At 42.8% G+C, this 14,375-nt stretch overlaps 1 long non-coding RNA gene across 6 annotated transcripts in view; it reads right to left on the reverse strand.

The window, feature by feature from the left end:
* Positions 1-14,375, reverse strand: part of LOC107984878 (uncharacterized) — a 77,518-nt gene that overhangs the window by 23,597 nt on the left and 39,546 nt on the right. For 3 of the 6 annotated variants that reach the window (XR_002957866.2, XR_001752258.2, XR_001752260.2), the window contains exons 2-4: positions 7,305-7,555; positions 3,207-3,318; positions 1,394-1,453 (exon numbers count right to left, since the gene is read on the reverse strand). The exons of 1 other annotated variant lie outside the window; for it this stretch is intronic. This is a non-coding gene — a long non-coding RNA (uncharacterized LOC107984878). Of the gene's footprint in view, positions 1-1,393; positions 1,504-3,206; positions 3,319-7,304; positions 7,556-14,375 lie in introns of those variants that run through there. 2 more of the 6 variants (XR_001752259.2, XR_002957865.2) reach the window with 2 other exon arrangements.

Consider the following 14,375-nt stretch of genomic DNA (forward strand, 5'->3'; position numbering starts at 1 on the left):
AGGCACTCACCTCAGATGCAAAATTTCAGGGGGCATCAAAAACCTTAGCAATCAAGATAAGTAACGGTCTAAATGTGTTATTTCTAAAAAATCAAAATTGATGCAAAAAATCCATGATAAATGAAATATCAATATTTTCAATCAAGATAGGCCCCGTGCCCGCATTGCACAACTCAGCCTCACTTGTCTTCTGAATCTGGGTTCTGCTACTTTAGGTGTGTCTGGCGCTTGGTGGGTTTGTCAGTAACAAACTTGTCACATATGGTGGGTACGCCTTAATTCCCAAGATATTATTAGCAGCTATTTACCTTATTTGAAGTTCCCAACAACACACGAGGGAGTCAGGAATAGGAAAGTAACTCCTGTCATACAGTCCTAGTGTGTCCCAACCATTCATGTACCCGTGACCCTTTCTCAGTCTTGGGAAATGTTCTCAACACCCAACCATGAACTGATTGCTTCTAGCCTAATGATTTTAAGTCAGAGACAGCTGGGTTGAAACCCTGTTTCTGCTTCTTAGAAAAGCACAACCTTGGGCAATTTGCAAATGTACCCTCGTGAACTTCCAGGCCTCTATCTGCCCCCACTGCCTCCTGAACTCCCCTCCATTGAAGAGCCAGCTCTGTACCCACCGAAAGGTCATTTAGAACTTGGGAGGAGAAAGTCTCTTTTAGATTCTTCATTTTCTACTAAGCTCATTTGTGCTCATTCACGATGGTTGACTTATTTCCTTTCTTGTCTATGAAAGAAGCCAAGAGGAGACATGCTGAAGGCCAAAATAATACTTTTCCAACACATGCACAGAGAAGCAAAGAAAAAAGGGAAGAGAAAAGCAAATTTTCAGAGACAAGCAAAGACAAAACACCGCATTGTCCCAGAGAGACTGAAAAAATGGCAGTCTGGGTTGCAGACGTCTTCCCTGTTCTGCTCTCCTGTCTGCCCTTGGCTTCCTTCCAAACACCACCTCACTTTTCCCTTAAGTTCATTGTGAAAGGTTTTCTTTTACTTTTAATCAAAGACAGTAATAAAAAAGAGGTTGGGCACAGTGGCTCATGCCTATAATCCCAGAACTTTGGGAGGCCGAGGCGCATAGAATACTTGAGGTGAGGAGTTCAAGACCAGCCTGGCCAACATGATGAAACCCATCTCTACTAAAAATACAAAAATACAAGAATTAGCCAGGTGTGTTGGTGGGTGCCTGTAATCCCAGCTACTCAGGAGGCTGATGCAAGAGAATTGCTTGAACCCAGGAGGCGGAGGTTGCAGTGAGCCGAGATCCTGCCACTGCACTCCAGCCTGGGTGAGAGAGAAAGACTGCCTCAAAAAAAAAAAAAAAAAAAGAAAGAAAGAAAGAAAGAAAAAGCTACTTTGATAGTCAATTGAATTGATTTACCTTATATCTCTTCTTGAAGTTCTCATTGCTGCTTCTCCTGTTTAGAGTGAATTTCCGACTCTACCAAGCAAAAAGTGAAATTGAGTTGTGTCATTCACAAAACATGACAAATAAATATCCATGACTGCTTCATCCGATTGTTCAAAAATATTCCTGGACACTTGCAGATTTCCTTATATAGACTTTAAAGCACATAATACTTTGTACTTCTGTGTACTTCCTGAGTTTCCTGAGTTTGAACGGAAGGAACAAAACATGCCAGAGTATATTTTTTAACACTCTGAAGGAGTGTGATTTCTGTGACCATGAACTCATTATGGGTTCCATTACTTTGAGAAGTGCTATTCTTTGGAAAAGATGAATTGGGGAGTTTGGAGTCGGACATAGGGTACAAACTCCAGTGCTGCCTCTTATATGCTGTGTGGTCTTGGACAAGAAGCTTAGTCTCTGAGGATCTTAGAGTCAAAACTTATAAAGTTGGAATAATATCTTCTCAGCAGTAGTTTTGTAAGAATCAAATAAGATAGTACCTAGGAAGGAGGAATGAATCTAACTTCAATACACAGGATACAAGAAATGTTGCATTTGTTTCCCTGAATAAAATTTAATCTGCTAACAGTCTTCTGCATCTCAGCGATAAACAAATACACAAATATATAAAGGAATAGTCTATGCCGATCTTCCCAATTCCATTGGGATGGCAGGAAATACAATAATGGATCTCCCTCCAACTTGTGAAGGCACTAGAAGTCTTCCCAAGAGCAGAACTTCTGTTCAGGAGGCTCTTGGTTCTTACTCATGTGGCTCCTTGAAGGAGGATTTCTCTGTTGTTTCCATGCACAGCTTGAGTGCAGGTGCTTTGTGAGGCTGAGGGTCCTGGTACCTGGGGCTCTGCCTCCTTATGAGCGTCCTCCCCACAGCCACTTTCCTCTGGTATCTGTCTCCTCCCTGGTGCACTGTGAAACAGTGAGAAGTGTGTCCCAACCATTCATGTACCCGTGACCCTTTCTCAGTCTTGGGAAATGTTCTCAACACCCAACCAGGAACTGGTTGCTTCTGCATCCCAATATGCCAACCCCAGAGCCCTCTCCTTCCCTTGAGGACATGTTCAACTCTATGCAAATGTGCAGGCTGGCGATGATAATCTCACAGGCCATCGATGTGTTTTATTCTATTTTTTAAAAAGAATTTTTAATAGTTGTCAAGAGTTAAAAACTGGGTGGAAATAAACTTCAGTACATACACACAATGGATTACTAGGCAGCTGTTAAAGAAATAAGGAAGATTTGGCCAGGTGCGGTGGCTCACAGCTGTAGTCCCAGCACTTTGAGAGGCCGAGGCTGGTGGATCATCTGAGGTCAGGGGTTTGAGACCAGCCTGGCCAACATGGTGAAACCCCGTCTCTACTAAAAATACAAAAATTAGCTGGGTATGGTGGTGGGTGCCTGTAATCCCAGCCACACGGGAAACTGAGGAAGGAGAATCACTTGAACCCAGGAGGCGGAGGTTGGAGTGAGCCGAAATCGCACCACTGCACTCCAGCCTGGGTGACAAGAGCAAGACTCTGTCTAAAAAAAAAAAAAAAGAAAAGAAAAAGGAAAAAAGAAAGAAAGAAGGAGGATTTGTATAAAATGATTATAGAGTGATTTCTAGGAGATAGTGTCAGGTTAAAAATAAAGCAAAGTGCAAAAAGGAATATATAGAATCTACCTTTTGTGTTAGAAGACGAAAAAAAGACAAAATGCGTATACATTCACACATCTTTCCAAAAAGAAACACAAAGGAAAAGCCAGAAAACTATGAAGTTGGCTACCTTCAAGAGCTGGCTAGGAGGAACAAGATGGAGTGGGTACAGAAGGGAGGAATACTTCTCGGAGTATATCCTTTATATAGTTTTGACTTCTGGAAGCATGTTAATGCTCCACCTGTTCAGAAAATAAACTAAAATAAACCAGGATGAGAAGAGATGAGTGGTAAAATCTATTGGTAACTTAGCGTCAGTCAGTCACTTACACACTGGGGATCAATGTGAAACAAGACTCGACATGTGTCAAACAATCCTATACTTTGGGTTTGAGATGTACATTCCAACTCAGACCAAGCCCAGAGCCAATGGCTCCCCTATTTCTTTGGTCTCTCCCAGCAACTGATTAGAGATAGGCCCTTTCATCTAAGTGTTTAACGTTATGCCTTAGTATTGCCTATTTTGCAGTTAGAAAGTTAAAAGCTATTTTCTCCCTTTGGACATTCTCTCTACTCCCTCCTCCACTGCCCTTGGTACCTTTAATCCTTTAGATTACCCCACTCTTGGAGGAAGGTTGACCCACTTCTCATTTGTTAATTCATTGAATTTCTTCTGGGTGGGCCACTGGGAACGGGGATGCAGGTTCACCTTGGACCCTGCCAGTGAAGCATTTACAAGGCGGCCAGATTGTCCAGTGCCAAGTATAACGCTCCCTCTGTGCTGTCCCAGAAGAGCCTGCCTCTTTCTTCACCCTGTGTCCTATTACTAGATGCTATTATCCTAGGCTCAGTACACTCTCTGTTCTAGGAAGAGGAGCAAGGGCAGAAATAATCCTTCTCCAAAGGTTAATATTTGTTGGGTATTCAAAATAAGATAGACTATAAACTCTTGTGGGTTTTTTCCCCCTAAAAGGCAGCCTTGGCCTCTCAAAGCCAATTTGAAGCAAGAACTCTGGGAAATCAAAAGCAGGGGTAAAGGGGCTTCTCTGGAAGATCATTTGGGAACTGGGTGACAGCTGGTGTGGTGAAAATAATACGGGTTTTGGAACAAGCCCACCTGGGTTGAATTCAGCTTTTCTATTCTCAAGCTGTATATAATCCCTTTACCTCTCAGCTTCTTATAAATAAGGGTAAAATGAAGATAAAAGGATTTATACTTCACAGGATATTGTGTCCATTCATGAGATGTATATTAAACATGGCAAACCACACAACTATTCACTTATTAAAAATTATGTCTTGCTTTTCTCATCGATAAAGCTGGAAAGGAAGAACTATGCTGGATATTTTTCCCCTTAAAACATGGTCATTAAAAAATGTCTGATTATAAAAGCCATGTATGTTAACTGTAGAAAAATTAGAAAATATAGCAATGCAAAAATAAAATAAAAATTTCAGGACACCCATAAAACATCAACCAGAGATAATCACCATGAAGACACTGATCTTTCCAAATCTTAATACTCAATACATATGCATATGTACATACCTCAAAGGTAAGATATATTATTTTACTTATATTATTTTTATCATATTATTTGGGGTGCGTTTTAAACCTGATCAAAATAGGCTTCCATGAATAATATTTTCAAAGATCCCACAGTTTTCAATTGTATGGATATAAAAAATAAATCTGTTATCTTGACTCCCGTTATCAGAAGTTTAGATTTCCAGGTTTGGAGTATTTCAATTACTGCTGCAATAGAAATACTTAGAGCTGAAATATTTGCACATATATTTAATTGTTTACTAAGAATATCTTTACTAAAAAGGGTCCAAAGTTTTATCTTGTTAAGGCTTTTGTCTCATATACCCAAATCACTCTCTCACATGTTTGTACCACTTTACACTTCCAAAAATACTCCACGCAGGTCCCTTACCCCACAGGTAGAACCAAACTGAATTGTAGCATTCAAAGACACACAAACACACTCTCACACAATTTTGCAATCTGCTGGCAACAGCAGAAAGGTCAGCACTTAAAGTTTCATTTATTGAAGTTTATTTTTTCAGACACTTCTTGCTCACCAACTGGAACATTCTTAAATTGCTGCCCTGTCTTGGGCCTTTTCTAGGAATGATGATGGTCTTCTCAACTGAGCTGTGTCTATCTCAAAATGACTTTCACTTCTGAGCATATGCCTTCCCATGAAATCCCCAGTTAATACCCAGATGCCCAAAAATACAGATGGGAAAAAATTTCAAGTAGATTATGCAGTCCATCTGTTCCAATATTCTTCTTATGGGAATAATTTCATTTTGTGTATAATCAGAGAAAAGTTGGTAAGATAAATTTACCTGGGACCCCATAGTTTTTTATTAAAAATAATAAAATCTTCATCTCCCCTCAAGAAGCTCTAGTGTGTTAACCAAGGTCAGGAAGAGCAGCTGCTCAGGAGGTTGTGGTTAACTTCCTTGGAGTTTTATTTCCAGAGCAAGTGTCGTAGAAAACCAGATTGTCTTTGAATATTCCCTTAGTACCTTTTCTTCTGTAGAATCTTTGGTATTCTTTTAAATACCCTGGTCTTTCTTAGTTTTATACCCATGAGTTCTTTCTTCATAGCAGAAGTTCCCAGGGCTTCAATATACCTTTTATTGATTTCCTTTCTCCTACCAAGTAGAATTATTTTCTGTTCTATTCCAAAAATTGCCTTCTCTTCTGGTTCCTATTAACTCAATGCCCCCAATCTATTCATGTTTGGGAGCTGAAGACTCAATATAAACTGTTTCCTTCCCTTTCTTGCCAGCTCATTCCCCTTCTTTACACATACACATTCAAGACCTATTCTTATCCATTAAGAAATGTGTAGGCATAGGCTGGGCAAGGTGCTCACGCCTGTAATCCCAGCACTTTGAGGGGCCAAAGAGGGAGGATTGCTTGAGACCACCCTGGGCAACGTAGTGAGACCCTGTCTCTACTTTTTTTTTTTTTTTTTTTTTGAGAGGGAGTCGCTCTGTCGCCCAGGCTGGAGTGCAGTGGCACAATCTCGGCTCACTGCAAGCTCCGCCTCACGGCTTCACGCCATTTTCCTGCCTCAGCCTCCTAAGCAGCTGGGACTACAGGCACCCACCACCATGCCCGGCTATTTTTTTTTAATATATATATATATTTTATTATACTTCAAGTTCTAGGGTACATGTGCACAACCACGCACACGTATGTTTATCGCGGCACTACTCACAATAGCAAAGACTTGGAACCAACCCAAATGTCCAACAATGATAGACTGGACTAAGAAAATGTGGCACATATACACCATGGAATACTATGCAGCCATAAAAAATGATGAGTTCATGTTCTTTTTTTTTTTTTTTTTTTGTATTTTTAGTACAGACAGGGTTTCACCATGTTAGCCAGGATGGTCTCGATCTCCTGACCTTGTGATCTGCCTGCCTCGGCCTCCCAAAGTGCTGGGATTACAGGCATGAGCCACCGCGCCTGGCCAATTTTTTTTTTTTAATTAGCCAGGTGTGGTTGTGTATGCCTGCAGTCCTAGCTCCTCAGGAGGCTGAGGTGGGAGGATCACTTGAGCTTGGGAGATCCAAGCTCCAGTGAGCTGAGATCACACCACTGCACTCCATCCTAGGTGACAGAGCAAGACCCTGTCTCTAAAGAAAAAAAAAAATGTATAGACATAACTTCTGCCTTCTAGGACAAGACATGGTCACAGGCACACAGAGAGAAGATTCTACTGTCCTTATGTACTTAGCACTTCTCATTTCCCTATATTTGAACTGTTAAAATTTTTTTATTTGAACATTTCAGTAATCTTTTAGGACCTGTCCACCAAGCTTTTCTTTTGCCTCTTTAATTGTGCACACTAACAAGAAAGACACTTTAGTAGACATTAGTCACATTTTTTGGCTGCCTAGCAATGGAACCTCTTTACCGTGTCTGGGGTATGCCACACCTTGAGTCCCAGAGGTAGGAAGGCCCACATCCCATTCTAATATGGATGACATGAGGCATTGGCTTTGCCAGCCTCTCCCAAGTTTGGATACAGGCTTATGGTTCAAGTTCTACTGCAGATTCACAACCAACTTCATGGTTGAGGTTTTAGTAGCAACGTGGCAATGAAGCAGCAATGGTACCCCGTTTGGTGGTGGCGGTGGTTGCACAAACAAAAGTGTCTCCTGTTAGCAGAAATGGTAAAAGCAACATCCTTACCAGACAGGCATGATTTCAGCTGGGGTCCTAGCTGTTTCTCAACCTCCATTGTTCCAGCAGGCATCCAAAGCAGACTTCCCAGTCATCTGTGAGCTACCCAACATTCTTTCAATTGATCCCTTTCCTTAATATGTTAAATCAGTTTCAAGTAAGAACCTTCACTGGTGCAAAAAAAAAAAAAATTAATACCAAAGGAAGCACTTATGTCAAGTGAAGAGCAAATGAGCTCCAGGATTGACTTTTTGCAGCAGCTGAAAGATAGAAAAGTGGGAGGGAGTGTAGTTATTACAGAATATTACAGGCAGGGTAGAGTCTACAGAACCTGCCCCCTAGTAGTCGGTACCATACTTGTGTTGCAAACTTTGATTTTGTTTGACCAAACACCACCATGCCTCACATTGCGTTATTGTTATTTTCACCTGTATTGCTTTTTACTGCTTTACAAATGTAGTGTGTAAGCACGCCCTGCTTTTTAGAGTTATTTATAAGAGCCATAAGCATGAGGATATTACAGCTGGCTTACACTCATACAAGTTGTATGATGATAATTACAATTTAAATCAATGTGTTACAAACAGCAGGTGCCATCACTTCTCCACCCATAGCCCTGTCTCTCAACTCTCTACTGCTAAAGATGCTCACTGTGAATATCTGCTACTTCTTGCCTGAGGGCTTTTGCTATGGGAGCCTGGTTGGCCTGAAAGTAGAGCAAGCCAGAGGTTCTGAAAAGTTAATTCCTGTGAAAGCAGCCCTCAACCCATGAAAGAAGGGGAATTATTGGTGCATAAATATCCCAGCTTCACCAGTGGCTATGTAGAATAACTCAAAATACACATTTTCCCACCATCTTCCAGAATTCCCCAGTGGGGATGAGCCCCAGATGCCTACTTGCTTGAAAATGCACCCTTTTCCTGTTTCTTTTCATTCCTTTTCTAACTTTTTTACTCCACTACCAGTGCCTCCTGGGATCCTCTCCTACTTGGCCTCAAATCCGAGTTGCAGGGTTCCTAATCTTGGTTTATCCTAAACTAAGACACTTGCACATCAGGCATCATTGCACCTTCACTGGTAAAGTGAATCTTTACATGTTGCATTGCAAGTATGTTAGGGGATTGGCAGAATTGCCTGAATTTGCTCTCACACCTACCATACAAGTGAATTGATTTCCCAGCCTAACAAACTAAGGGTATAAGAGCAATTGCTACCCAGAAAAGGGGCGGATATAGCATGGTTTGGTGCAGTTCCTCTGGGCCCCAAAGCCCCTAACAGGAGCATAGACGCAGATGGCACTCTCCACATAGGGTTTCATTTTTCTGCAGCTGTTACATCCTCAAGCTTGTATCATGATCCCAGAAGAACTTACCATAACAATTGACATGCTGCTATTAAAGTAAATGTTGCAAACACCTTGTTTCGTGGTTGTTGAATGAAATGCAGCATCATTAAAGGCCATATCTCCTCTTGGAGAGGGATAGGGGGATAGGGTCAGCACCCAAACATCACTAAACAACATTCTGTCTCTACCTCTCTAGGATCACAGAAAGGAAGCCCTTTCGCCCTAGAAATGTACCTGCTTGAGAAGCTCTGCAGTGTGTTGAGGAAAGAAGCAATGATACCATGTGAGGGAAGTACAATAGACTAGAAGTTGTGTCCCCCACTCCAAATTTATATGAAATCTTCATCCCCAAGGTGATGGTATCAGGAGGTGGTGCCTTTGGGAGATGATTAGGTCAAGAGGTCAGAGCTCTCTTGAGTGGGATTAGTGCCCTTATAAAAGAGGCCTGAAGGCCGGGCGTGGTGGCTCATGCCTGTAATCTCAGCACTCTGGGAGGCCAAGGCAGACGGATCATCTGAGGTCGGGAGTTCGAGACCAGCCTGGCCAACATGGTGAAAACCCATCTCTACTAAAAATACAAAAATTAGCTGGGCGTGGTGTCATGCGCCTGTAATCCCAGCTACTCAGGAGGCTGACGCAGGAGAATCGCTTCAATCCCGTAGGCAGAGGTTTCACTGAGCCTAGATCGATCGCGCCACTGCACTCCAACCTGGGTGACAGAGTGATACTCCGTCTCAAAAAACTAAACTAAAATAAATAAATAAAAAAAAGAGGACTGAGGGAGATCCCCTCGCCCCTTCCACCATGTAAGGACACAGCTGGAAGGCACCATTCTATGAACCAGGTAACAGATCCTCACCAGACATCAAAACTGCTGGTACCTGAATCTTGAACTTCAGCCTCCAGAACTGTGACAAATAAATCTCTGTTGTTCATAAGCCACTCTGTTCATGGTGTTTTGTGATAGCAGCCCACACGGAGTGAGCGAGCAGCCTGGGTGACTCACACTGCCTGGGGATGGGCATTAGCAGTAACGTCCTGGGTGTATGTATTGGAGACTCCAGTCTTTAGTACCTGCATGTACAGGTAGTCTGTGTTCCCCCCCATCACTGATTCTCCTGATCCAAGTGTCACTCCGTCCCCCCATGCACCTCATCTTCCTGCCTGCTCAGTTCCACTGTGGAAATGATTGAGTTAAATCCTTAAGATAAAAAATAAACTTTGCTCACAATGACCAACTAGATAAACAGGCACATGCAATGCCAAAACTCAAAATCAATATCTGGGAGACTGTCTCTATTTGGAAAAGGAGAGGTGTATTAAATTAAAGTGTGTCCTTTGATTTTTCCCTCAACAAAATATGGCAGTCTCTAAAACAAAATTGCCCAGAATGATTTAGTAGCCTTCTAACATCAGCTTCAAATGTATTCAAGTGTCTGCAATGAGACCTGCATGAAACAGACCTCTGAGCTCATCCAAAGGACAAACAGTATTCCAGGTTGGGAACATTCCCCTGGTGTGTATTGTCACATCAATAGCTATCATTTCCGATCAATGTCATTTCTGCAAAGAGAGCCCTTGTGTGCCAGGCCACTGCCAATAGAGAGGACTAATGTGACCTCAGCCTCTGGGCTGGAAAGTCCCTTGAGCATCAATTAGTCCAAGGACCTTCTTTTACCAACCAAAACAAGGACATTTCCAAAGTCACACAGGCAGCAAGTCAAAACCACAGGCTACCTTGCTCCCAGAAACCAAGGATCCATGGCTTACAACAGGGTGGTTCAGGCCGGGTGCAGTGGCTCATGTCTGTAATCCCAGCTCTTTGGGAGGCTGAGGCGGGTGGATCATTTCAGGTCAGGAGTTTGAAACAGGCCTGGCCAACATGATGAAACCCCGCCTCTACTAAAAATACAAAAATTAGCCAGGCGTGGTGGTGGACGCCTGTAATCCCCGCTACTTGGGAGAATGAGGTAGGAGAATTGCTTGAGCCCAGAAGGCGGAGATTGCAATGAGCAGAGATCGCGCCACTGCACTCCAGCCTGGGCAACAGAGCAAGACTCCATCTCACAAAAATAAATAAATAAAAATTAAAAAATAAAATAAATTTTAAAAAAAGGCCGGACACGGTGGCTCACACCTGTAATCCCAGCACTTTGGGAGGCTGAGGTGGGCAGATAATGAGGTCAGGACTTCGAGACCAGCCTGGCCAATATAGTGAAACCCTGTCTCTACCACACCTGTAGTCCCAGCTACTCAGGAGGCTGAGGCAGGAGAATCGCTTGAACCTGGAAGGCAGAGGTTGCAGCAAGCCGAGATCAATCATGCCACTGCACACCAGCCTGGGCAACGGTGCAAGATTCTGTCTCAAAAAAAAAAAAAAAAGAACAGGGTGGTTCAACTTTGGCACTATTAACATTTTAGGCTGGCTCATTCTTTGTTTTAGGGCTATCTTGTGCCTTGCAGGATGCTTAGCAGCATCTATGGCCTGTACCCATCAGATGCTTGTAGCACTACTGGTAACAATCAAAAATGTCTTCAGACACTGCCAGTGTCCCCCAAGGCGTAAAATCACCTCTGACTTAGAGAAAACATTGCACATTGGAGCCATATGGGCTAAATTTGGCTCACAGACATGTTTTGTTTAGCCTATGTAATATTTGTCAAAATTTTATAAATTTGGTATATTTCACATAATGATTCAGACTTTTGGCCTCTCAGAAACACCTGGAAGCCCCAGCAACCCTGAGCTCACATTTTCACATTACAATGATGGATCAAAGTTGAGTTTTTTGTTTGTTTGTTTTTTGAGACAGAGTCTTGCTCTGTCGCCCCGGCTGGAGTGCAGTAGTGTGATCATGGTTCACCGTAGCCTCAACATCCCAGGTTCAAGCAATTCTCCTGCTGCAGCCTCCCCTCCTGAGTAGCTGGGACTGCAGGCACATGCCACCATGCCCAGCTAATGTTCGCATTTTTTTGTAGATACAGGATCTCACTATGTTGCCCAGGCTGGTCTCAAACACTTGGGCTCAAGTGATCCACCTGTCTTGGCCTCCCAAAGTGCTGGGATTACAGGCTTAAGCCACCATGCCCAGTCACTATCTCTTTTAGAATGCCCTCTGCACTCCGGTTTCTCACAGTCCCCACCACTCTCTGTTATGTCCCACAACAGGCCCACTTCATTTGCTTCATAATGTTCTCGGGCCTGGATTTAAAGTTTTCTTAAAACAATTTGTGGTATATTTTATCTTAAGTAAGCCCCTCAGTTCCTTGAGGTCAGAGTCATGTTATTTTTTTCTTTTGTTCCTTCTACAATGCCTAACCTTGAGCAGACACTTAGAAATAGTTATCCATTTATTTACCTATAGCAGTTTTCCCCAAAAGATATCCTGCAGAATGCTAATCTTGTTAACTTCAAGGGCAAAGGGCTGGAAGTCTAATAAGTCTCAGTAAAGCTGTATTCTGAATCCCTATGTAGAGATTCAAGAGTTATGCTAAGACTCTAAATCTACATTAAAGAAAGCTGCTTAACTGTATTTGACCCAGAGTGTCTCAGGCTAATTTGACCACAGACCCTCCTTTTACCCTGGCATCCATCAACATTTAGGAAACCACTGTTTCGTTGAATAGACTTTGGAAACCACTTAACTAAACTCTAACCATTTCAAATTAGACACAGGTGTTTAATATTAAGCGCTATGACAAAGGCAGTTACAAAGTACTAACATGTAAAGAGTTTTTTTCTAAGCATAGACATTTATTTCAATCAGCTGTTTTAAATTTCTCCACATATTTGTGAAGACAATGTGATCAATGTCTACACCTCACAGATTAGAAAATGAAGCAACAGGCCGGGCACAGTGGCTCACATCCATAATCTCAATACTTTGGGGGGCTGAGGAGGGTGGATCTCGAGGTCAGGAGTTGGAGATCAGCCTGGCTAAGATGATGAAACCCTGTCTCTACTAAAAATACAAAAATTAGCCAGGTGTGGTGGCGGGTGCCTGTAATCCCAGCTACTCGGGAGGCTGAGGTGGGAAAATCGCCTGAACTCGGGAGGTGGAAGTTGCAGTGAGCCAATATCTCACCACGGCACTCCAGCCTGAGCGACAGAGAAATATTCCGTCTCAAAAAAAAAAAAAAAAAAGAATGAAGCAACGGAAAGATTAAGGAACTTGTTCATGGTTACATAGCTAGGAAAAGGTCAAGCCAGGAACAAAGCCTGTCCGATCCCAAGACATATGCACGTAGCCTCTCTTTACATTGTCTTGCCTCCCTGAAACGTTGCACCATGTTCTCTATGTGTCTGCCTCCCCACTCAAGACAGGTGCCAGGCCTTATTCATGAAGGAAGTAGCCAGGAAATTATTGTCCATTGATCAACTGTTATGCATGGGAAATAATACTTGGAAGAGTTTGGCATGGTATCTCATGCAGAATTAGATATTCTAATACTCATTTATTGGGCAATTCTCTTAACCTTTCAGAGCCTAAAATTCACATAGGTAGGAAATGGGAAAACTGGGTTCTGAACAAGTCCTGGAAACAAGGTATGTGTTCCTTCTACCTTCCTTAGTGCATATCAAGAATGCAGAATTGGGCCAGGCATGGTGGCTCACGCCTGTAATCCCAGCATTTTGGGAGGCCGAGGTGGGCAGATCACCTGAAGTTAGGAGTTCAATACCAGCCTGACCAACATGATGAAACACTGTCTCTACTAAAAATACAAAAATCAGCTGGGCATGGTGGCAGGTGCCAGTAATCCCAACTACTCGAGAGGCTGAGGCAGGGGAACCACTTGAACTTGGGAGACGGAGGTTGCAGTGAGCTGAGATCGTGCCACTGAACTCCAGTCTGGGCGACAGAGCAAGACTCTGTCTCAAAAAACAAACAAACAAAAATAAAACAAAACAACAACAAAAAAATAATGTAGAATTGGATGAATGAGTGGATAGATGGATGATTGGACAATTGGGTGATGGATGGACTTCTTCCCATTTGCTTTGTGGAAAGTACCCCATTAGGCTCTGTGAAGAGAAGGGGCATACTAAAAGGAATAGGACAGGATTTCTGAAGAACATTTCCCCATTTCCTGGGATTTAAGCCTGCTACCCTCAGAACAGGAAAGGCAAAATGTGCCCTTTTCATGGTGTGCATTTTCAGTTACATTGAGGTCTTGTAGCTTCACAGTCATTACTGCAAGGAAGCCCCAACCAACTGGATATAGGCCAATCCAACAATAAAAGGAACAAAACTTTCAGGGACATCAGCTCTTAGCCTCAACCAGAGACATCAGGGCAACAAGAGAGTGAATTAGCTGGAGGGCTGGTTCATCCTTATTTATAGTATGATGATCTCAGCTTGTAAGGTGGAAAAAACGGTGCAGGGGAGGAATTCGTCCCCTTTCTGGTTTCTGTTGGACCCTATTTGAGGAGTAAATGCTTTGTTTATTTCTGAACCTGAATTTTACGTCCCCATCCCATTACTCATCATGATCTATAGCAAAGTACTTTAGGGAAAACACAGCTCTCTGCAGTGCTTGGAAGAGGCAGGCAGCATTACTGTGTGGTGATTCATACAAGAAAACACACAGGGGCCGGACACAGTGGCTCACGCCTGTGATCCCAGCACTTTGGGAGGCCAAGGTGGGCGGATCACCTGAAGTCAGGAGTTCGAGACGAACCTGGCCAACATGGTGAAACCACGTTTCCACTAAAAATACAAAAATTAGCCAGGTGT

The sequence above is a fragment of the Homo sapiens genome, chromosome 16, assembly GCF_000001405.40.
Source record: "Homo sapiens chromosome 16, GRCh38.p14 Primary Assembly".
Lineage (NCBI taxonomy): Eukaryota > Metazoa > Chordata > Mammalia > Primates > Hominidae > Homo > Homo sapiens.